The sequence below is a fragment of the Homo sapiens genome, chromosome 1 (assembly GCF_000001405.40).
Source record: "Homo sapiens chromosome 1, GRCh38.p14 Primary Assembly".
NCBI classification, from domain to species: Eukaryota; Metazoa; Chordata; class Mammalia; order Primates; family Hominidae; genus Homo; species Homo sapiens.
Genome location: NC_000001.11, coordinates 244,516,957 through 244,542,238, shown reverse-complemented (window position 1 = coordinate 244,542,238; position 25,282 = coordinate 244,516,957). Strand labels below are relative to the sequence as shown.

General features: G+C 38.9%; 1 protein-coding gene across 23 annotated transcripts in view; it reads right to left on the bottom strand.

The window, feature by feature from the left end:
- Positions 1-25,282, bottom strand: part of CATSPERE (catsper channel auxiliary subunit epsilon) — a 189,263-nt gene that overhangs the window by 98,266 nt on the left and 65,715 nt on the right. For 19 of the 23 annotated variants that reach the window (XR_001737095.2, XR_001737096.2, XR_001737099.2 and 16 more), the window contains one exon: positions 23,541-23,647. The exons of the other annotated variants lie outside the window; for them this stretch is intronic. Coding sequence is in view for 16 of the 19 variants with exons in the window: in XM_011544138.3 (XP_011542440.1) it covers positions 23,541-23,647 (107 nt within the window). In the remaining 3 variants the exon portion in view is untranslated. The remainder of the gene's footprint in view (positions 1-23,540; positions 23,648-25,282) is intronic. 23 annotated transcript variants of the gene reach the window in all.

Here is a 25,282-nt window from a genome sequence, read left to right as displayed (position 1 = left end):
TACACTTGCCTCCTGGTATGGGGAAGGCTTCAGGAAAGCACCAGGGCTTGGTTGGAACACTGCTCTACTTTTTTTTTTTTTTTTATACTTTATGTTTTAGGGTACATGTGCACAATGTGCAGGTTTGTTACATATGTATACATGTGCCATGCTGGTGCGCTGCACCCATTAACTCATCACCTAGCATTAGGTATATCTCCCAATGCTATCCCTCCCCCCTCCCCCCACCCCACAACAGTCCCCAGAGTGTGACGTTCCCCTTCCTGTGTCCATGTGTTCTCATTGTTCAATTCCCACCTATGAGTGAGAATATGCGGTGTTTGGTTTTTTGTTCTTGCGATAGTTTACTGAGAATGATGATTTCCAATTTCATCCATGTCCCTACAAAGGACATGAACTCATCATTTTTTATGGCTGCATAGTATTCCATGGTGTATATGTGCCACATTTTCTTAATCCAGTCTATCATCGTTGGACATTTGGGTTGGTTCCAAGTCTTTGCTATTGTGAATAGTGCCGCAATAAACATACGTGTGCACGTGTCTTTATAGCAGCATGATTTATAGTCCTTTGGGTATATACCCAGTAATGGGATGGCTGGGTCAAATGGTATTTCTAGTTCTAGATCCCTGAGGAATCGCCACACTGACTTCCACAATGGTTCAACTAGTTTACAGTCCCATCAACAGTGTAAAAGTGTTCCTATTTCTCCACATCCTCTCCAGCACCTGTTGTTTCCTGACTTTTTAATGATTGCCATTCTAACTGGTGTGAGATGGTATCTCACTGTGGTTTTGATTTGCATTTCTCTGATGGCCAGTGATGGTGAGCATTTTTTCATGTGTTTTTTGGCTGCATAAATGTCTTCTTTTGAGAAGTGCCTGTTCATGTCCTTCGCCCACTTTTTGATGGGGTTGTTTGTTTTTTTCTTGTAAATTTGTTTGAGTTCATTGTAGATTCTGGATATTAGCCCTTTGTCAGATGAGTAAGTTGTGAAAATTTTCTCCCATTTTGTAGGTTGCCTGTTCACTCTGATGGTAGTTTCTTTTGCTGTGCAGAAGCTCTTTAGTTTAATTACATCCCATTTGTCAATTTTGTCTTTTGTTGCCATTGCTTTTGGTGTTTTAGACATGAAGTCCTTGCCCATGCCTATGTCCTGAATGGTAATGCCTAGGTTTTCTTCCAGGGTTTTTATGGTTTTAGGTCTAATGTTTAAGTCTTTAATCCATCTTGAATTGATTTTTGTATAAGGTGTAAGGAAGGGATCCAGTTTCAGCTTTCTACATATGGCTAGCCAGTTTTCCCAGCACCATTTATTAAATAGGGAATCCTTTCCCCATTGCTTGTTTTTCTCAGGTTTGTCAAAGATCAGATAGTTGTAGATATGCAGCGTTATTTCTGAGGGCTCTGTTATGTTCCATTGATCTATATCTCTGTTTTGGTAGCTGTACCATGCTGTTTTGGTTACTGTAGCCTTGTAGTATAGTTTGAAGTCAGGTAGTGTGATGCCTCCAGCTTTGTTCTTTTGGCTTAGGATTGACTTGGCGATGCAGGCTCTTTTTTGGTTCCATATGAACTTTAAAGTAGTTTTTTCCAATTCTGTGAAGAAAGTCATTGGTAGCTTGATGGGGATGGCACCTGAATCTATAAATTACCTTGGGCAGTATGGCCATTTTCATGATATTGATTCTTCCTACCCATGAGCATGGAATGTTCTTCCATTTGTTTGTATCCTCTTTTATTTCATTGAGCAGTGGTTTGTAGTTCTACTTGAAGAGGTCCTTCACGTCCCTTGTAAGTTGGATTCCTAGGTATTTTATTCTCTTTGAAGCAATTGTGAATGTGAGTTCACTCATGATTTGGCTCTCTGTCTGTTATTGGTGTATAAGAATGCTTGTGATTTTTGTACATTGATTTTGTATCCTGAGACTTTGCTGAAGTTGCTTATCAGCTTAAGGAGATTTTGGGCTGAGACAATGGGGTTTTCTAGATATACAATCATGTCGTCTGCAAACAGGGACAATTTGACTTCCTCTTTTCCCAATTTAATACCCTTTATTTCCTTCTCCTGCCTAATTGCCCTGGCCAGAACTTCCAACACTATGTTGAATAGGAGTGGTGAGAGAGGGCATCCCTGTCTTGTGCCAGTTTTCAAAGGGAATGCTTCCAGTTTTTGCCCATTCAGTATGATATTGGCTGTGAGTTTGTCATAGATAGCTCTTATTATTTTGAGCAAGAAATAACTAAAATCAGAGCAGAACTGAAGGAAATAGAGACACAAAAAACCATTCAAAAAAATTAATGAATCCAGAAGCTGGTTTTTTGAAAGGATCAACAAAATTGATAGACCACTAGCAAGACTAACAAAGAAAAAAAGAGAGAAGAATCAAATAGACGCAATAAAAAATGATAAAGGGGATATCACCACCAATCCCACAGAAATACAAACTACCATCAGAGAATACTACAAACACCTCTACGCAAATAAACTAGAAAATCTAGAAGAAATGGATAAATTCCTCGACACATACACTCTCCCAAGACTAAACCAGGAAGAAGTTGAATCTCTGAATAGACCAATAACAGGAGCTGAAACTGTGGCAATAATCAATAGCTTACCAACCAAAAAGAGTCCAGGACCAGATGGATTCACAGCCGAATTCTACCTGAGGTACAAGGAGGAACTGGTACCATTCCTTCTGAAACTATTCCAATCAATAGAAAAAGAGAGAATCCTCCCTAACTCACTTTATGAGGCCAGCATCATTCTGATACCAAAGGCGGGCAGAGACATAACCAAAAAAGAGAATTTTAGACCAATATCCTTGATGAACATTGATGCAAAAATCCTCAATAAAATACTGGCAAACCGATTCCAGCAGCACATCAAAAAGCTTATCCACCATGATCAAGTGGGCTTCATCCCTGGGATGCAAGGCTGGTTCAATATATGCAAATCAATAAATGTAATCCAGCATATAAACAGAACCAAAGACAAAAACCACACGATTATCTCAATAGATGCAGAAAAGGCCTTTGACAAAATTCAACAACCCTTCATGCTAAAAACTCTCAATAAATTAGGTATTGATGGGACGTATCTCAAAACACTGCTCTACTTCTGCTGTTGAGTAGGGCCAGATGCTCCCTCCAGAGGAAAACACAGACCTGCACCTGCCTTCTGGCCTGGGGAAGGTTTAAGGAGAATGCTGGGGCTAGATGGGGAAGCTGGCTAGCGACGTGCAGCTGACCTATGGATCGTGTTTCTTGTGATGCTGTTGGCTAGTGATGCTGTTGGCTAGTCCCTCTGGTGTGGTGCCCCATTTGCCAGAATGCAGAGGCATTACTAATATCACGTGCTGGTTGCTGTATGCTCCAGGCCCTGTTCTTCATTTCTAACTGATCCCAGGTGGTCTAGCCCTGCTGGTACTCCCAATGTGTCCTGTGGGGTGAGACACGACTAAGCCTCCTGTGAAGGGTCCCAGAATGCTGGGAAAGTTGAATATCCAGCTCCACTATCTTTCCCCATGGGGGAAACTGTGGGCCTAGGGGAATCTGTGTGTGGCACTGTGTAGCTTGGGAGACACGTAACATGATCAAAGAGAAACAATTTCTCTTACCCTTTGAATATGGCTTTTCTTAGTTCTGCAGTCCAATGGGGTGTTTCAGCCTCACTTCTGAGTTCTTGGATATTGGCAAAGGTATTCTTGTTTGTGGATAGTTGCTAGCTGGATTTCTAGGGATGTGGGGAGTTGGGCCAGAGAACTCCAATTCTACCATCTTGCTGATGCATTAGAATTATCTTCTATAAGCACTTACTTAACAGAATTGCTAAACACTACTCAGTTACCACTTCCCCCTCTGTTTTCTGTCTTTTGTTCTTGCCTCCCTTCCAATTTTTGACTTTATAGGTTTGTAACCTTAAAAAATTTTTTTTCTCCCTGTCATTTTGGTAAGATTCTGGGAGAGAATAGAGATAAATAAACGTACTTAATCTGCCATGTTTTAATTTATCTTCATTTAACTAAGTTTCAATAAGCCGTGTAACTTTTTTTCTTTTGAAAAGATTTTTTAAAAATAAGAGATGGGGGTCTCATTATGTTGCCCAGGCTGGCCTTGAAATCCTGGGCTCAAGCAATACTCCCACCTTGGTCTCCCAAAGTGTTGGGATTACTGGTCTGAGCAACTGTGACTGGCCTCCCATGCATTTTTACAACTAGTTTTGCCACATATATGTCTTAACATAGAAGTGCAAAGAGAAATAGAAAAATCCACTATTATCTCTTGCAACTTCAACACCTCTCTATCATTAATTAACAGATCCAGCAGGCAGAAAATCAGTAAGGACATAGCTATACTAATCAATCAACTAGATTTAATGGATACTTATAGACTACTTTATCCAACAACAGGAGAATACATATTTTTCTCAGTCCCACATAAGAATTCACCAAGATGCACCATATGCTGGGCCATAAAATGCACCTTAACAAAATTTAAAAGAATAGAAATCATACAAAGTATGGTCTCAAACCACAATGTAATTAAAAGTAGAAGTCAAATTCACATAAAAAGCTGTATCTATTAAATAAACTGGAAAAATAATTAATAATCTTCCAAAACAAAGCACCAGGCCCAATGACTTTCTTTTTAGACTAGTGAATGCTAACACTTAAGGAACAAATAATGCTAATTCTCTAGAAACTCTTCCAATAGAAGCAGAGGGAATTTTTCCCAACTCATTCTATGAAGCCAGCCAGCATTGCCCTAATAACCAAAACCAGACAAAGACATCACAAGAAAGGAAAGCTACAGACCTTTTAAATCCAACAATGGGTAAAAAGAATTGCACACCATGACTAAATGAGATTTACTCCAGGTATGCACGGCTGGTCCAAAATTCAAAAATCAATTAATATAATCCACCAAATTAACAGGCTAAAGAAGAAAAATCATATAGTAGATGCAAGAAAAGCATTTGACAAAGTCAACACTCATTCATGCTAAAAACTCAAAGCAAACTAGCAACAGAGGGGACCTTCTTAAACTTGATAAAGAGAGTCTAAAGAAAGCATACAAAAACTTGACAGTGAGAAACTAGATGCTCTCCTCCTAAGATTGCCTACACGACAAGGATGTCTCCTCTCATTATTTCTACTCAACTTAGCACTGGAAATGCTAGCTAACATGAGAAAGTGAAATAAAAGGCATTCACATTGGGATGGTATAAATAAAACTGGTTTTTGTTTGCAGATGACATAAATGACTGTTTAGAAAATCTTAAAGAACAGAAAAAAAAAAAACTCCTGGAACTAATAAAAATTATACCTGCAGGATACAAAGTCCATACAAAAGTCAATTCACATGCTTTAAAAAACTAGTTTGAGGATGGAGGCAGAACAGGATGAGTGAATAGAAGCCTCCACCAATCTTCTTCTCCATAGGAACATGAAATTTAACAACTATCTACCCAAAAAAGCAACTTCATAAGAGCCAAAAATCAAGTGAGTAATCACAGTATCTAGTTTTAACATCATATCAAGGAAACAGACACTGAAGACGGTGGGAAAGACAGTCTTGAGTTGCCAACGTCACCCCTTCCCCATCTCGGTAGTGGCTGCATAGTGCAGACAACGAATCTGTGTGCTTTGGGGAGACAGAGTGCAGTGATTGTGGGACTTTCCGTCGGAATTCAGTGCTGCCCTGTCACAGCGGAAAGCAACACCAGGCAGAACTCAGATGACGCCCGCAGAGGGAACATTTTGAGCAGCCCTAGTCAGAGGGAATTGCCCATCCTCATGGTGGGAACATGGGTTTTGGCAGACCTTGCCATCACAGGCTAAAGTTCTCTGGAGTCCGAAATAAACTTGAAAGATAGTCTAGGCCACAGAGACTGCAACTCCTAGGCAAGATCTAGTGCTGTACTGGGCTCAGAGACAGTGGACAGGGGTGGCATTCAACCTAGTGAGACACTACCCTGGGTAGCTAATGGAGTGCTTGTGCCACCCCTCCCCAACACTAGGCAGCACAGCTCACAGCTATGAAAGAGACTCCTTCCTTCTGCTTGAGGAGAGGAGAGGGAAGCATACAAAGGGCTTTGTCTTGCAACTTGGATATCAGCTCAGCCACAGCAGAAAGGGCACTGGGCAGTCCTGAGGCCCCCATGCCAGGCCCTAGTTCCTAGACGACATTTCCAGACACACCCTGGGCCAGAAAGAAACCTGCTGCCTTGAAGAGAAGGACCCAGTCCTGGCAGGATTCATCACCAGCTCTTGGGCCCTGAATAAACAGCAGAGGTAGCTAAGCAGTACACACCATGGCATTGGATGAGACTCTGAGATGTGCCAGCTTCATGTGTGACCCAGCACATTCCCAGCTGTGGCAGCTACAAAGAGAGACTCCTTCTGCTTGAGAAAAGCAGAAGGAAGAGTAAAAGGGACTTTGTCTTGCAGCTTAGGTACCAGCTTGGCCACAGTGGAGTAGAGTACCAAGCAGCCTCTTAGGGTCCCCAGTTCCCGGCATTGGTTCTTGGACAGCATTTGCAGCATTTTTAGACTTGACTTGGGCCAGAGGGGAACCAACTGCCCTGAAAGGTGAGTCCCCAGCCTGGCAGCATTCACCACAAGCTGACTAAAAAGCCTTTGGTCCTTAAGTGAACATTAATGGTAGCCTGACAGCACTCACTGCGGGCCTGTGGTGGTGGTGGCCACAGGGAAAGACTCCGCTGTCTGTGAAAAGGAAAGAGAGGAGTGGAAAGGGCTATGTCTTGTGGTTTGAGTGCCAGTTCAGCTGCAGAAAAATAGAGCACCAGGTAGATTTCTAAGGTTTCTGACTCCAGGCTTTGGCTCCCAGATGGTACCTCTGGACCCACATGGGGCCTGGGGGAACTTGCAGCCCTTAAGGGAAAGACACAAGACTGGCTGGCTTCACCACCTGCTGGTTGTAGAGCCCTAGGGCCTTGAGTGAACATAGGTGGTAGCCAGGTTACAGCGGGCCTTGGGTGAGATCCAGTGCTATGCAAGATTCAGGTCTGACCCAGTGCAGTCCCAGTGGCAGTGTCCACAGGGGCGCTGTGTCACCCCTCCCCCAGCTCCAGGCAGCTCAGCACTGAGAGAGAGAGAGAGATTCTGTTTGTTTGGCAGAAAGTAAGAGAAGAGAACAAGAGTGTTTGCCTGGTAATTCAGAGAATTTTTCCAGATTTTTTCCAAGACCACCAAGAGTCATAGCATTACTGGGCTTGGGGTGCCCCCTAATGCAGATATGGCTGCAGTGACCAAAAACTTAGATCACAACACCCAAGTCCCTTAGAATACCTGGAAAGCCTTCCCAAGAAGGATAGGTAAAGACAACCTCAGACTGTGAAGTCGACAATAAACACCTAATTCTTCAATGTCTAGACACCAGTGAACAACCACAGGCATCAAGACCATCCGGTAAGACATGACTTCATCAAATGAAGTAAGTAAGGCAACAGGGACCTATCACAGAGAGAAAGAGATATGTGGTCTTTCTAACACAGAATTCAAAATAGCTATTTTGAGGAAACTCAGATAAATTCAAGATAACACAGAGAAGGAATTCAGGATCCTATCAGATAAATTAAAAAAAGAGATTGAAGTAATTAAAAAGAAACAAATTCTGGAGTTGAAAAATGCAATCGACATAATGAAGAATGCATCGGAGTCTCTTAATAGCAGAATTGATCAAGCAGAACAAAGAATTAGTAAGCTTGAAGACAGGCTATTTGAAAATACACAATCAGAGAAGACAATAGAAAAAAGAATAGAAAAGGATGAAGCATGCTTACAAGATCTAGAAAACAGCCTCAACGGGGCAAATCTAAGAGTTATGGGCCTAAAAGAGGAGGTAGAGACAGAGATAGGGGTAGAAAGGTTATTCAAAGAGATAATAACAGAGAACTTCCAAAACCTCAAGAAGGACATCAATATTCGGTACAAGAAGGTTACAGAACACCAAGCAGAGTTAACCCAAAGAAGACTACCTCAAGACATTTAATATCAAACTACTATAAAGGTGAAGGATAAAGAAAGGATCCTAAAAGCAGCAAGAGAAAAGAAACAACTAACATACAATGGAGGTCCAATATGTCTGGCAGCAGACATTTCAGTGGAAACTTTACAGGCAAGGAGAGAGTGGCATGATATATTTAAAGTGCTGAGGGAAAAAGATCTTGTACCCTAGAATAGTAAATCTGGTGAAAGTATCCTTCAAACATGAAGGAGAAATAAAGATGTTCCCAGACAAACAAAAGCTGAGGGATTTCATCAACACAAGATCTGTCCTACAAGAAATGCTAAAGGGAGTTATTGAATTTAAAAGAAAAAGACAGTGAGCAATCAGAAATCATCTGAAGGCACAAAACTCACTGCTGATTTTAAGTACACAGAAAAACATAGGATATTAAACACTGTAATTGCTGTGTAAATTACTCACATGTTAAGTAGAAAGGCTAAAAGATGAACCAATCAAAAATAATAACTACCACAACTTTCAAGACATGGACAGTACAATAAGATGTAAATAGGAACAACAAGAAGTTTAAAAGCAGGGGTACAAGGTTAAAGTGTAGAATGCTTATTAGTTTTCTTTTCAAATTTCTCATTTGTTTAGGCAATCAGTGTTGTCATCAGTTTAAAATAATGGGCTATAATTATTTGCAAGCTTCATGGTAGTCTTAAATAACATACAACAGCTACACAAAAAATAAAAAGCACCAAGAAATTAAAACATACCACCTGAGAAAATCACCTTCACTGAAAGGAAGACAGAAAGGAAGAAAAGAAGGAAGAGAAGACCACACAACAACCATAAAACAAATAACAAAATCACAGGAGTACATCCTTACTTATCAATAATAACACTGGATGTAAATGGACTAAACTCTCCAATCAAAAGACATACAGTGGCTGAACGGATTAAAAAACAAGACCCAACAATCTGTTACCTAAAAGAAATATGCTTAACCTATAAAGACATGAATAAATTGAAAATAAAAGAATGGAAAAATATATTCAATGCAAATGGAAAGCACAAAATAGGAGGAGTAGCTATACTTATATCAGACAAAATAGATTTCAAGACAAAAACCACAAAAAGAGACAAATAAGGTTATTACATAATGATAAAGGGGTCAATTCAGCAAGAGGGCATAACTTTATTGTAAATATATATGCAACTGACAATGAAGCACCCAGACATATAAGGCAAATATTATTAGAGCTAAAGAGAGAGAGAGACCCCAATACAATAATAGCCAGACACTTCAACATCCCACTTTTAACATGGGACAGATTATCCAGACAGAAAATCAACAAACACTGGACTTAATCTCCACTACAGACCAAATGGACCTAAGAGATACTTACAGAGCATTTTATTCAATAGATATAGAGTGCACATTCTTCTCCTGAACTCATGGATCATTCTCAAGGATAGACCATATATTAGACCACAAAACAAGTCTTAAAACATTAAAAAAATTCAAATATGAAGTACCTTCTCTGACCACAATGGAATAAAACTAGAAGTCAATAACAAGAGGAATTTTGATAACTATTCTAACACATCAAATTTAAACAATACGCTCCTGAATGACCAGTGGGTCAGTGAAGAAATTAAGAGGGAATTGAAGGGCAGGCAATTACAGTTCAGACAACAGGCACGGATGAAAGAAGGATTTGAAATATTTCTTGAACCAAATGATAAGAGAAACATAACACATAACAAAACCTAGGGAATACAGCAAAAGCAGTACTGAGAGAAGTTTATAGCTATAAGTGCCTATAACAAAAATAGTAGAAAAACATCAAATAAACAACCTAATGATACATCTTAAAAAACTAGAAAAGCAAGAGCAAACCAAACCCAAAATTAGTGGAAGAAAAGAAATAACAAAGATCAGAGCAGAGATAAATTAAATTGAAATGAAGAAGGCAATACAAAAGATCAATGAAATGAAAAATTTGTTTTTTGAAAAGATAAATAAAATCAGTAAACTAAGAAAAAAAGAGAGAAGACTCAAATAAATAAAATTGGGGATGAAAAAGAAGACTACCAATGCCACAGAAATTCAAAGGATCATTAGAGGCTACTATGAGCAACTATATGCCAATAAATTGGAAATCCTAGAAGAAATGGATACATTCCTAGACACATACAACCTACCAAGATTGAACCATGAAGAAATCTAAGATTTAAACAGACCAATAACAGGTAATGAGATTGAAGCCATAGTAAAAAGTCTCCCAGCAAAGAAAAGCCCAGGACCTGATGGCTTCATTGCTGAATTTCAGCAAACATTTAAAGAACTAATACCAATCTGACTCAAACTATCCCCAAAAATAGAAGAGGTGGGAATACTTTGAAACTCATTCTATGAGGCCAGTATTACCTTGATACCAAATCCAGAAAAAGACATATCAAACAAAGAAAACTGCAGGTCAATATCCCTGATGAAGACTAATGCAAAAATCTAAGACAAAATGGTAACAAACCGAATTCAATGACAGATTAGAAATATCATTCATTATGACCAAGTGGGATTTATCCAAGGGATGCAAGGATGGTTCAACATATGCAAATCAACCAATGTGATACATTATATCAACAGAATGAAGTATAAAAGCCATATGATCATTTCAATTAATACCGAAAAGCATTTGATAAAATTCAACATCACTTCATGACAAAAAAAAAATTTTAAAAACTGGGTATAGAAGGAACATACTTCAACATGATAAAAGCCATATATGATAGATCCACAGTTAGTATCATACTAAATGGGGAAAAACTAAAAGCTTTTCCTCTAAGATCTGGAACACAAGTATATCCACTTTCACTACTGTTATTCAACAGTACTGGAAGTCCTAGCTAGAGCAATTAGACAAGAGAAAGATATGAAGGGCATCCAGATTGGGATGGAAGAAATCAAATCATCCTTGCTTGCAGAAGATACAATCTTTTTTTTTTTTTTTTTTTTTTTTGAGACTGAGTCTCCCTCTGTTGCCCAGGCTGGAGTGCAGTGGCTCTATCTCTCCTCACTGCAACCTCCGCCTCCTGGATTTAAGCGATTCTCCTGCCTCGGCCTCCTGAGTAGCTGGGATGACAGGCACATGCCACCACACCCGGCTTTTTTTAAATTTTTTTTATTTTTAGTAGAGATGGGATTTCAGCATGTTGGTCAGGCTGGTCTCAAACTCCTGACCTGGTGATCTGCCTGCCTCGGCCTCCCAGAGTGCTGGGATTACAGGCGTGAGCCACTGTGCCTGGCTGATATAATCTTATATTTGGAAAAACATAAAGTCTCTATCAAAAAACTATTAGAACTGATATATAAATTCAGAAAAGTTGTAGGATACAAAATCAACATATAAAAATCAGTAGCATTTCTATATGCCAAGAGCAAACAATCTGAAAAAGAAATAAAAAAGTAATCCTATTTACAATAGGTACAAATAAAACTCAATACATAGGAATTAACCAAAGAATTGAAAGATCTCTGCAATGAAAACTATAAAATATTGATGCAACAACTAAAGAGGACACAAAAAAGGAAAACATTCCATGTTCATGGATTGGAAGATTCAATATTGTTAAAATGTCTGCACTACCCAAAGCAATCTACAGGTTCAATGCAATCCTTATCAAAATACCAAAGACATTCTTTACAGAAATAGGAAAAAAAAATCCTAAAATTTTTACAGAACCCACCAAAGACCCAGAATAGCCAAAGCTATCCTAAACAAAATGAACAAAACTGGATGAATCACATTACCTGACTTCAAATTATACCACAGAGCTACAGTAACCAAAACAGCATGGTACTGGCATAGAAACAGACACATAGACCAATGGAAGAGAACAGAGAACCCAGAGACAAATCAATACATCTACAGTGAACTCATTTTTGAGAAAGGTAGTAAGCACATATATTGGGGAAAGGACAGTCTCTTCAAGAAATGGTGCTGGGGGCTGGGCGCAGTGGTTCACACCTGTAATCCCAGCAATTTGGGAGGCTGAGCTGGTGGGGACTGCCTGAGGTCAGGAGTTCAAGACCAGCCTGGCCAACATGGGGAAACCCCATCTCTACTGAAAAATACAAAAGTTACACGGGCGTGGTGGGCACACACTTGTAATCCCAGCTACTCGGAGGCTGAGGCAGGAGAATTGCTTGAACATGGGAGGTGGAGGTTGCAGTGAGCCAAGATCATGCCATTGCACTTCAGCCTGGGTGACAAGAGTGAAACTCTTGTCTCAAAAACAAAAATGGTGCTGGGAAAACTATATATCAGTATGCAGAAGAATGAAACTAGACCCCTATCTCTTGCCATATACAAAAAACAAGTGAATTAAAGACTTAAGTCTAAAACCTCAAACTATAAAACTACTAAAAGAAAACATTTAGGAAACTCTCCAGAACATTGGAGTGGGCAAAGATTTCTTGAGCAATATCCCATAAGCACAGGCAACCAAAGCAAAAATGGACAAGTAGAATCACATCAAGTTAAAAAGCTTCTACAAAGTGAGACTCAAAAAATAAAAATAAAAAATAAAATAAAAAGCTTCCGCACAGCAAAGGAAACAATCAAAAAATTGAAGAGACAATCCACAGAATGGGGGAAAATATTTGCAAACTATCCATCTGACAAGGGATTAATAACCAGAATATATAAAGAGCTCAAACAACACTATAGGAAAAAAATATAATAATCCAAATAAAAATGGGCAAAAGATCTAAATAGACATTTCTTAGGTGAAGACATAAAAATGGTAAATAGGTATATGAAAAGGTGCTCAACATCACTGATCATTAGAGAAATGCAAATCAAAACTAGAATGAAATATCATCTCACCCCAGTTAAGATGGATTTCATCCAAAAGACAGGCAATAACAAATGCTGGAGAAAGGGAGCCCCTGTATGCTGTGGGTGGGAATGTAAATTAGTATAACCACTATGGAGAACATTTTGGAAGTTCCTCAAAAAGCTAAAAATAGAACTACCATATGATCCAGCAATCCCAGTGCTAGGTATACACCCAAAAGAAAGGAATTCAATATATTGAAGAGATATCTACTCCCATGTTTATTGCAGCATAATTCATAATAGTCAAGATTTGGAAACAACCTAAGTGTCCATCAACAGGTGAATGGATAAAGAAAATGTGGCACATATACACAATGGAGTACTATTTAGCCATAAAAAAGAATGAGATCCTGTCACGTGCAACAATATGGGTAGAACTGGAGGCCATTATGCTAAGTGAAATAAGCCAGGCACAAAAAGACAAACTTCACCATATTCTCACTTATTTGTGGGAGCTAAAAATTAAAACAATTGAACTCTTGGACATAGAGAGTAGAATGATGGTTGCCAGGGGCTGGAAAGAGTAGAGTGTGTGTGTGTGTGTGTGTGTGTGTGTGTGTGTGTGTGTGGTGGGGGATTGTTGTGGGGGAGAGTAGGTATGGTTAATGGGTTCAAAAAAATAGAATAAGATGTATTTGATGTCACAACTGGGTGACTATAGTCGATAATAATTTAATTGGATGTTTAAAAATAACTAAAAGAGTATAATTAGACTGTAACACAAAGAATAAATGCTTAAGGTGATGGATACCCCACTTACCCTGATATGATTATTATACATTGTATGCCTATATCATAATCTCATAAACCCACAAAATATATATACCTACTATGTACCCACAAAAATTAAAAATTTAAAAATTTAAAAAAACTAGTTTACCCAGTACTAAACAATGTACTATTTAATTTTTCTAGTTTTGTACTTTATATAAATGGAATTACACTTTACCTTTCCTCTATGATTTGCTTTTATCATTCCATATTATGCTTGTGAGATTCATTCATACTGATTAGTGTTGCTTTGTATATTTTTACTGTTGTATAGTGTATACATTTTTAGCATGTTTACACCAGGGGTATGGATGGAGCTGGAAGCCATTATGCTCAGCAAACTAATGCAGGAACAGAAAGCCAAACACTGCATGTTCTCACTTATAATTGGGAGCTGAATGATGAGAACACATGGACACATGGTGGGGTGAGTGGGAACAACATATGCAGGGAACCTGCTGGTTGGGGGGAATGGGGAAAGGGAGAGCATCAGGAAGAATAGCTAATGGATGCTGGGTGTAACACCTGGCTGATGGGATGATCTGTGCAGCAAACCACCATGGCACATGTTACCTATGTAACACACTTGCTGTATCCCTGAACTTAAAAGTTGAAGAGAAAAAATAAAGACCAGCTTGGGCAACAGGGTGAGACCCTGTCTTTACAGAAAGTGGAAAAATTGGCCAGGCATGGTGACACATCCCACTTGGGAGGCTGAGATGGGAGGACTGCTAGAGCCTAGGTGTTGCGGGAAGTCAGGGACCCTGAACGGAGGGACCAGCTGAAGCCACGGCAGAAGAACATAAATTGTGAAGATTTCATGGACATTTATTAGTTCCCCAAATTAATACTTTTATAATTTTTTACACCTGTCTTTACTGCAATCTCTGAACATAAATTCTGAAGATTTAATGGACACATCACTTTCCCAATCAATACGCTTGTGATTTCCTATCCCTGTCTTTATTTTAATCTCTTAATCCCGTCATCTTCGTAAGCTGAGGAGGATGTATGTTGCCTCGGGACCCTGTGATGATTGCATTAACTGCACAAATTGTTTGTACAGCATGTGTGTTTGAACAATATGAAATCTGGGCACCTTGAAAAAAGAACAGGATAACAGCAATGTTCAGGGAACAAGAGAGATAACCTTAAACTCTGACTGCCGCTGAGCCGGGCGGAACAGAGCCATATTTCTCTTCTTTCAAAAGCAAATGGGAGAAATATCGCTGAATTCTTTTTCTCAGCAAGGAACATCCCTGAGAAAGAGAATGCGTCCCTGAGGGAAGGCCTCTGAAATGGCTGCTTCAGGGGAGGCTCTCTTTTACGGTTGCAGCTGTAGGGATGAAATAAGCCCCAGTCTCCTGTAGCGCTCCCAGGCTTATTAGGACGAGGAAATTACCCCCTAATAAATTTTGATCAGACTGGTTGTCTGCTCTCAAACCCTGTCTCCTGATAAGATGTTATCAATGACAATGCGTGCCCAGTTGGACATGAAACTTCATTAGTATTTTTAATTTTGCCCCGGTCCTGTGGTCCTGTGATCTCACTCTGCCTCCATTTGCCTTGTGACATCTTATTACCTTGTGAAGCATGTGATCTTTGTGACCCACACCCTATTCATACACTCCCTCCCCTTTTGAAAATCACTAATAAAAACCTGCTGGTTTTGTGGCTTGGGGGGCATCACGGAACCTGCTGACATGTGATGTCTCCCCCGGATACCCAGCTTTAAAATTTCTCTCTTTTGTACTCTTTCCCTTTATTTCTCAGGCTGGCTGACACTTAGGGAAAATAGAAAAGAACCTATGTGACTAGCGGGGGCAGGTTCCCCCGATACCTAGGAGTTTGAGGTTGTGGTGAGCTGTGGTCATGCCACTGCACTCCAGCCTGGGTGACAGAGTGAGAACCTGTCTAAAAAAAAAAAAAAAAAGAAAAAGACTAAGCCAATCTATTGGTTGAATCACAGGTGATTTTGTTGTGGTAGAAACTGGTGAGCACCACTGAAAAGCACTGCCTTATCCTTGCTAGCCTCCCATTGTATAGGCTGGAAAAGCCAGATATTTTTTTTCTAGTCTCTCTTGTAGCTAGAATTGGCCATATAACCCACTGTGGCCAATGAGATATACAAGGACATGTAAGAAATTATTTTCTTTTCCTTTTTTTTTTTTCTTTTTGATACAGGGTCTCATTGTCACCCAGGTTGAAGTGTAGTGGCCCAATCATAGCTTACTGCAGCCTCAAACTCCTGGGCTTGGGCATTCTTCCTACCTCAGCCTCCCCAGTAGCTGAGACTACAGGTGTGTGCCACCATGCCTGGCTAATTTTTGTATTTTGTGCATAGAGGCAGGGTTTTGTCATATTGCCCATGCTGGTCTTAACTCCTGAGCTCAGGCAGTCTGCCCACCTCAGCCTCCCAATGCTGGGATTACAGGCATGTGTCACCACACTTTCCTGACAAAAGGATAGCACCATTAAGGAAAAGGTCCTCTTTGCTACGTTGGCTACCCACTCACTGTCACCTGCCTTTCTCACATTGAGTGCAGACTTGTGCTGTTAGAGCTTCAGCAGCCATCTTGTGACCATGAGGCCACAGATGAGGCCAACACTCTGAGGATGGTGGAGAAGAAGGTTGGAAAAAGCCTACGGCCTTAACCACTGGCTACTTCTAGGCTTCTTAAGTAGCAGAAAAAAATTTTTTTTGTTGTTAAGCCATTATTAATCAAGTTTTCTGTTACTTACAGTTAAACCAAAACTAATAAGTATATGTTTGGTGTCTTCATTATACATTTCTCCATGAGTGGAAATTAAAGTTTCTTTCTTCTTCTTTTTTTGCAATTGCAAACAATGCTGCTACGAATATTATTTTACACATCTCCTGAGGTAACTGTGCATGGATTTCTCTAGGGTATACAGTGGTATTGAGCTTGTAACCATGGGGTATGTGCATCTTTAACTTTGCCTGATAATGTAAAATTCTTTCAAATTGGTTGTGCCAATTTACACTTCCATCAGCAATCCACATTAGTGTTTCATTGTTGCGTATCCTCACCAATGACTTTCTTTTTTATTTTATTATATTTTATTTATTATTATTATACTTTAAGTTTTAGGGTACATGTGCACAATGTGCAGGTTAGTTACATATGTATACATGTGCCATGCTGGTGTGCTGTACCCACTAACTCATCATCTAGCATTAGGTATATCTTCCAGAGCTATCCCGCCCCCCTCCCCCCACTCCAAAAGAGTCCCCAGAGTGTGATGTTCCCTTTCCTGTGTCCATGTGTTCTCATTGTTCAATTCCCACCTATGAGTGAGAATATGCAGTGTTTGGTTTTTTGTTCTTGCGATAGTTTACTGAGAATGATGATTTCCAATTTCATCCATGTCCCTACAAAGGACATGAACTCATCATTTTTTATGGCTGCATAATATTCCATGGTGTATATGTGCCACATTTTCTTAATCCAGTCTATCATTGTTGGACATTTGGGTTGGTTCCAAGTCTTTGCTATTGTGAATAATGCCGCAATAAACATACGTGTGCATGTGTCTTTATAGCAGCATGATTTATAGTCCTTTGGGTATATACCGAGTAATGGGATGGCTGGGTCAAATGGTATTTCTAGTTCTAGATCCCTGAGGAACCGCCACACTGACTTCCACAATGGTTGAACTAGTTTACAGTCCCACCAACAGTGTAAAAGTGTTCCTATTTCTCCACATCCTCTCCAGCACCTGTTGTTTCCTGACTTTTTAATGATTGGCATTCTAACTGGTGTGAGATGGTATCTCATTGTGGTTTTGATTTGCATTTCTCTGATGGCCAGTGATGGTGAGCATTTTTTCATGTGGTTTTTGGCTGCATAAATGTCTTCTTTTGAGAAGTGTCTGTTCGTTTCCTTTGCCCACTTTTTGATGGGGTTGTTTGTTTTTTTCTTGTAAATTTGTTTGAGTTCATTGTAGATTCTGGATATTAGCCCTTTGTCAGATGAGTAGGTTGTGAAAATTTTCTCACATTTTGTAGGTGGCCTGTTCGCTCTGATGGTAGTTTCTTTTGCTGTGCAGAAGCTCTTTAGTTTAATTACATCCCATTTGTCAATTTTGTCTTTTGTTGCCATTGCTTTTGGTGTTTTAGACATGAAGTCCTTGCCCACGCCTATGTCCTGAATGGTAATGCCTAGGTTTTCTTCTAGGGTTTTTATGGTTTTAGGTCTAATGTTTAAGTCTTTAATCCATCTTGAATTGATTTTTGTATAAGGTGTAAGGAAGGGATCCAGTTTCAGCTTTCTACATATGGCTAGCCAGTTTTCCCAGCACCATTTATTAAATAGGAAATCCTTTCCCCATTGCTTGTTTTTCTCAGGTTTGTCAAAGATCAGATGGTTGTAGATATGAAGCGTTATTTCTGAGGGCTCTGTTCTGTTCCATTGATCTATATCTCTGTTTTGGTACCAATACCATGCTGTTTTGGTTACTGCAGCCTTGTAGTATAGTTTGAAGTCAGGTAGTGTGATGCCTCCAGCTTTGTTCTTTTGGCTTAGGATTGACTTGGAGATGCGGGCTCTTTTTTGGTTCCATATGAACTTTAAAGTAGTTTTTTCCAATTCTGTGAAGAAAGTCATTGGTAGCTTGATGGGGATGGCATTGAATCTGTAAATTACCTTGGGCAGTATGGCCATTTTCACGATATTGATTCTTCCTACCCATGAACATGGAATGTTCTTCCATTTCTTTGTATCCTCTTTTATTTCATTGAGCAGTGGTTTGTAGTTCTCCTTGAAGAGGTCCTTCACATCCCTTGTAAGTTGGATTCCTAGGTATTTTATTCTCTTTGAAGCAATTGTGAATGGGAGTTCACTCATGATTTGGCTCTTTGTTTGTCTGTTGTTGGTGTATAAGAATGCTTGTGATTTTTGTACATTGATTTTGTATCCTGAGACTTTGCTGAAGTTGCTTATCAGCTTAAGGAGATTTTGGGCTGAGACGATGGGGTTTTCTAGATATACAATCATGTCATCTGCAAACAGGGACAATTTGACTTCCTCTTTTCCTAATTGAATACCCTTTATTTCCTTCTCCTGCCTAATTGCCCTGGCCAGAACTTCCAACACTATGTTGAATAGGAGTGGTGAGAGAGGGCATCCCTGTCTTGTGCCAGTTTTCAAAGGGAATGCTTCCAGTTTTTGCCCATTCAGTATGATATTGGCTGTGGCTTTGTCATAGATAGCTCTTATTATTTTGAGATACGTCCCATCAATACCTAATTTACTGAGAGTTTTTAGCATGAAGGGTTATTGAATTTTGTCAAAGGCCTTTTCTGCATCTATTGAGATAATCATGTGGTTTTTGTCTTTGGTTCTGTTTATATGCTGGATTACATTTATTGATTTGCGTATATTGAATCAGCCTTGCATCCCAGGGATGAAGCCCACTCGATCATGGTGGATAAGCTTTTTGATGTGCTGCTGGATTCAGTTTGCCAGTATTTTATTGAGGATTTTTGCATCAATGTCCATCAAGGATATTGGTCTAAAATTCTCTTTTTTTGGTTGTGTCTCTGCCCGGCTTTGGTATCAGAATGATGCTGGCCTCATAAAGTGAGTTAGGGAGGATTCCCTCTTTTTCTACTGATTGGAATAGTTTCAGAAGGAATGGTACCAGTTCCTCCTTGTACCTCAGGTAGAATTCGGCTGTGAATCCATCTGGTCCTGGACTCTTTTTGGTTGGTAAGCTACTTATTATTGCCACAATTTCAGCTCCTGTTATTGGTCTATTCAGAGATTCAGCTTCTTCCTGGTTTAGTCTTGGGAGAGTGTATGTGTCGAGGAATTTATCCATTTCTTCTAGATTTTCTAGTTCATTTGCGTAGAGTTGTTTGTAGTATTCTCTGATGGTAGTTTGTATTTCTGTAGGATCGGTGGTGATATCCCCTTTATCATTTTTTATTGCGTCTATTTGATTCTTCTCTCTTTTTTTCTTTATTAGTTTTGCTAGTGGTCTATCAATTTTGTTGATCCTTTCAAAAAACCAACTCCTGTATTCGTTAATTTTTTGAATGGTTTTTTGTGTCTCTATTTCCTTCAGTTCTGCTCTGATTTTAGTTATTTCTCGCCGTCTGCTACCTTTTGAATGTGTTTGCTCTTGCTTTTCTAGTTCTTTTAATTGTGATGTTAGGGTGTCAATTTTGGATCTTTCCTGCTTTCTCTTGTGGGCATTTAGTGCTATAAATTTCCCTCTACACACTGCTTTGAATGCATCCCAGAGATTTGGTATGTTGTGTCTTTGTTTTCATTGGTTTCAAAGAACATCTTTATTTCTGCCTTCATTTTGTTATGTACCCAGTAGTCATTCAGGAGCAGGTTGTTCAGTTTCCATGTAGTTGAGCGGTTTTGAGTGAGATTCTTAATCCTGAGTTCTAGTTTGATTGCACTGTGGTCTGAGAGACAGTTTGTTATAATTTCTGTTCTTTTACATTTGCTGAGGAGACCTTTACTTCCAAGTATGTGGTCAATTTTGGAATAGGTGTGGTGTGGTGCTGAAAAAAATGTATATTCTGTTGATTTGGGGTGGAGAGTTCTGTAGATGTCTATTAGGTCTGCTTGGTGCAGAGCTGAGTTCAATTCCTGGGTATCCTTGTTGACTTTCTGTCTCGTTGATCTAATGTTGACAGTCTCACCAATGACTTTCTAAAACTTTAATATATTTATCAATCTGGTATGTGTAAAATGGATCTCATTAGGCTATTAATATTTTTCTTTGATTACTAATGAGGCTGAACATCAGGTCATGTATTCATCAATGAGCTGAATTTATCAAATGTTTACTCGTATAGTTTGAGTAACTTTTGAATTGTTGTAGAAATCCTTCAGTATCCTGAGACAATAAAGATATTCTATATTTCTAATTTTTTTCAGTTTAGCCTTTCAAATGTACATATTTAATTCATCTGAGATTATTTTTATGTACAATATGAGGTTAAAAAAATTTATTTTATTTTTTACTAAGCCGAGGAAAGCAGGAAGTAAAAAACATTTTGAAATAAAGCTTTATTTTTTCCCTCTTGAGATGATCATCTAATTTTACTCCTTTAAGCTATTAATGTAATAAATTACATTAAAACATTTAAAAATATGATACTGAACTTGCACTTCTGGTATAAATCAACTTGATCATATATCATTTATTTTTCATATATATTACTGGATTTATTTATTTATGTATTTAGAGACAAGGTCTCACTCTATTACCTAGGCTGGAGTACAGTGGCATGATCATAGCTCACTGTGGCCTCAAATTCCTGGGCTTGAGCAATCCTCCTGCCTCAGCCTCCCAAGTAGCTAGGACTACAGGTGCATGCCACTACACTTGGCTAATTTTTAATTTTTGTATAGAGATGGGGTCTCTCTATGTTTCCCAGACTGGTCTGAAACTCCTGGCCTCAAGCAATCCTCCTGCCTTGGCCTCCCAAAGTGCTGGGATTAAAGGTGTGAGCCACTATGCCTGGCCTATTGCTAAATTTATTTGATAATATTCTATTCAGGATTTGGCATCTACATTCACGAATAAGATTAGCTTGTGATTTTCCTTTCTTATATAGCTCTTGCCTGAATTTCAGTATGCTAATAACTTCATCTCACTGTTTAGGATTGGAATTATCTGTGCTAGTGCTCTCTTCCCTTCCTCAATGATTGTTAAATAATAATTGTTTCTTTTCAGTTAAAACATTACTCAAGTTCTATATGTATTTTTTGGGTCAATTTTGACGATTTATATTTTTCTAGAATTTTTCCTTAGTTGCTGTGGAATTGGGGCCCACAGAACAATGCTGCTTGGCTCCCTGGATTCAGCCCCCTTCCTAGGGATATGTACGGACAAATTTTCCACCTTGGCAGGGGTCCTGGGTCCACAGTATGTAAAACTCCTGGGCCTCTGCGTGTGCCTGAGTGGCTGCTCTGCCGAGACTCCACACAGCTGTGTGTATTGGACCCAAGGCCCTGGTGGCATGGGCTCATAAGGGCATCTCCTGATTGTGGGTTGCAGAGACCCATGGGAGAAGTGTGGTATTGGCATAAGGATGAATATGTAGGGCAATGGAATAGAATTTAAAAATCCAGAAATATACTGTCACATTCACTCTTAACTGACTTTCAACAAAAGTTCCAAAACAATTCAATGGGGGAAACAACAGTCTTTTCAGCAAATTATGCTGGGACAACTAGATCTCCAGAAAGAAAAGAATCCATTTGGACCCCTACCACAAAATGAACTCACTGCAAATATAGACCAAATATAAACTCAAAGTAGACCAAGGGCTTAAATGTAAGAGCGAACACTATAATACTCATAGGAAAAAAACAGTTTGGATTTGGCAATGGTTTCCTTGATACGGCACCCAAAGCACACAGAACCAAAGGAAAAAAACAGGTAATTAGGAATTCATAAAAATGTAAAACTTCTGTGCTTTAAGGGTATCATGAAGAACCTGAGAAGACAATTCACAGAATGGGAGAAAATCCTTGTAAATCATGTTTGATAAAGGACTTGTATCTAGAATATAAAGAACTCTTAGGGCTAGTCATGGTGGCTTACAAGTAAGGTAATTATTGACCCAACTCTTGGTGAATCCGTGAGTGAGGGTTATCATAGTGATGGTGGGTTAAATCAAGACATTAATGTTTGCCAAATTGTTAAGAAACACCTCCTACTATCACACAGTTCAAAACTCAACAATCACAAATATGGCGGCTGAGCGCTTTCCTACAGCATTGTTTATTGTCATGTCATACTCTTGTCTACTTTACAAATTTTTATTTTACAATAGTTTGTATTCATCCATCCATTCATTCATTTTCTAACCTGCTTATTCCAGTTCAGGGTTGTGGTTGGCCAGAGCCCATTTTGGCAGCTCAGGGCTCAAGGCAGGAGCCTACCCTGGACAGGACGCCATCCCATTGTAGGGCACACTGACATTCACACCCACACTCATTCCAACTGAGACCACGCAGACACACCAATGAACTTCAAGTGCACAGCTTTGGGATGTGAGAGGAAACCAGAATACCTGGAGGAAACCCACGCAGACACGGGGAGAGCATGCACACTCCACACAGCAGTGGCCCCAACAGGGAATCAAGTTTTTTCTAATCAATGTTATAATGAACATTATTTGAGGACCTGCTGTTTGTCATTTCCTATGTTTGGAATTCTCCCCCATTTGGCTAGGTTTTACTTCTTTTCAATAATGCAGATGTCACCTTTTTAGAAAAGTCCTCCCTGACTCCCTCTCCTCCAGGCCAGAGTTGGTGCACCCTCTTTGTGTTCCTCTGCATCCTGGCCTCACTCCTATATAATACCTGTTTCTTGTTTGTCTCTTGCACTAAATGAAAGATTATTGAAGGCAGGTACTTTATCCTTTAGTTAAAAGCACCTTGCCCTGTGTCTAGGTGCTTAATAGACTAAGAAAGTCTGTCTATACCTTGTGATAACCTACTAACTTTAACAGTAATGTATCTTGCCTTTCAGGTAGAATTTGTGGTGTGTGTGTGTGTGTGTATGTGTGTGTACGGGCACTGGACACCACCGTGGTTGACTTTTATAAGCCAGCAGGACACATTTTGAGATATTTCCAGGATTTGCCACCAACCTGAATGAGGCTCTTGGATTGAGGATTATGTATGGACACAAATTGTAAAACTCTAATCCAAGAGTCTAGCATTTTCTAAGTTAGTAATTAGTTCTGATTATCAAATTTTTTATGTTTTATAAAAGAAGGCACTTGAAAATAACATATAAGACACATTTCATTAAGTTCCACTAGGATTTTAAAATCTAGTTTAAGTTTTCATATTTCTATATTTAAAATTAAAAAAAATTAAATACCCCCTTCTCATTTTCTCATTTGAAGAATAAACTTTTCTCTTCAGAACTGTATGTATGACAGGCTTCTGTCCCAATGTGGCCATCTGTGTGCTGAGTACTATGGAATTCTGTAAAAACAAATTAAATTTCATTTTTTATTATTTTCATAGCTAAAGTATTTTGATGTGACATCAGGATATATTGAATTTGTTATTTTCGTTAAGACATTGCTTACATTTGTAAATTTACCATGTGCTCAAGATTCAGCTTTGTTCTTTCTACCTTATAGCCTCCTCCCCATGCGAACTTTATGAATTATAAATAAGTTGTAATAGTTTCCAACTCGTCAAAAACTCTACACACAATCAGAATCCTGAATGCACTGAAACTATGGGGATACTTAAATAAATAACCCTAGTGTTAATCTCCATGAAATACATAGTAGAGTTTCTGAAACTAATCTGTTTGTTAGAATTCTTCCTACATGAGCCTGCCTTCAAAATGACATACTCTTTCAAGGTAGGTTTCAAACGATACCTGGGGGCTTTAAGGAAAACGCTCTTAGAAATCAGATAGATCTGAAAAGCTCCCTTTTTCTCATGATACATAAGGAGAAGGGGAATTGAGTTGGAATTATTCCTAATAAGGTACTTTTAGAATGGAAGCAACTGTTTTACTATGGGAAATTTCTAGAATTAAAAAATCAGATGATGAGGGCTAGTCTAGAATTCTATCCTAATCCTCTAATACTGCTTTTGTTTAATTTTCTAAAAACATGGCATCCACTCACAAAGGAACCTTTAAGATTGTTATCATGAGTGCCAGTAAGGAGTAATTAGGGGGGTTATGGGGTTATCTGATAGTAGAACCCATTGTGGGAAGTAGGAATAATGGTCAGGGAAGGCCTTTCCTGAAGAATACTCATTTGATGATTTTTTTTTTTTTTGAGACAAGAGTTTTGCTGTGTTGCCCAGGCTGGAGTGCAATGGCACAATCTCGGCTCACTGCAACCTCTACCTCCTGGGTTCAAGCGATTCTCCTACTTCAGCCTCCCAAGTAGCTGAGATTATAGGCATGCACCATCATGCCCCACTAATTTTTTTTATATTTGGTAGAGACAGGGTTTCACCATATTGGTGAGGCTGGTCTCGAACTCCTGACCTCAGGTGATCCACCCACCTCCTCCTCCTAAAGTGCTGGGATTACACGCATGAGCCACTGCACCCAGCCCATTTGATGATGTTTATAGAGAAATACAGGTTTGCCTAATAAATAATAAATAATAGATATTTTAATTTTGTTTCTGAAAATCATATTCACTATTCAGAATTTTAAATACAACTACCTTTTGTATAACTGCTGAGGAAAGAGTAAATGAAGCATTCTTAATGTAGCAAAGAGTAAGATGGAAGTAAAATATAATAAATAATACATATAAGAAGATTGTAGGAAAAATATCAAGAAAAAGTTAATATAATCATATAAACAAGCTTAAAAATATATATTTTTTGATTAAGAAAGTAATTCATGGTCATTAAAGATAATTTTATAAATATGGAAAAAACTAACACATAGAAATTATCAAAAAGGCAAAAACCACATTAGTGTTTTCTTCAGATTTACCAAGTACAGGTTACTGTTTTATATTCATGTTCAGTCTATAAACATCATTTTCAATGTCTGCATAATTTTTCACTGAGTGAATTATCACCATTTGCTTAACACTCCTGTACTGGACATTTTGGTAGTTTTATTTTTTTCAC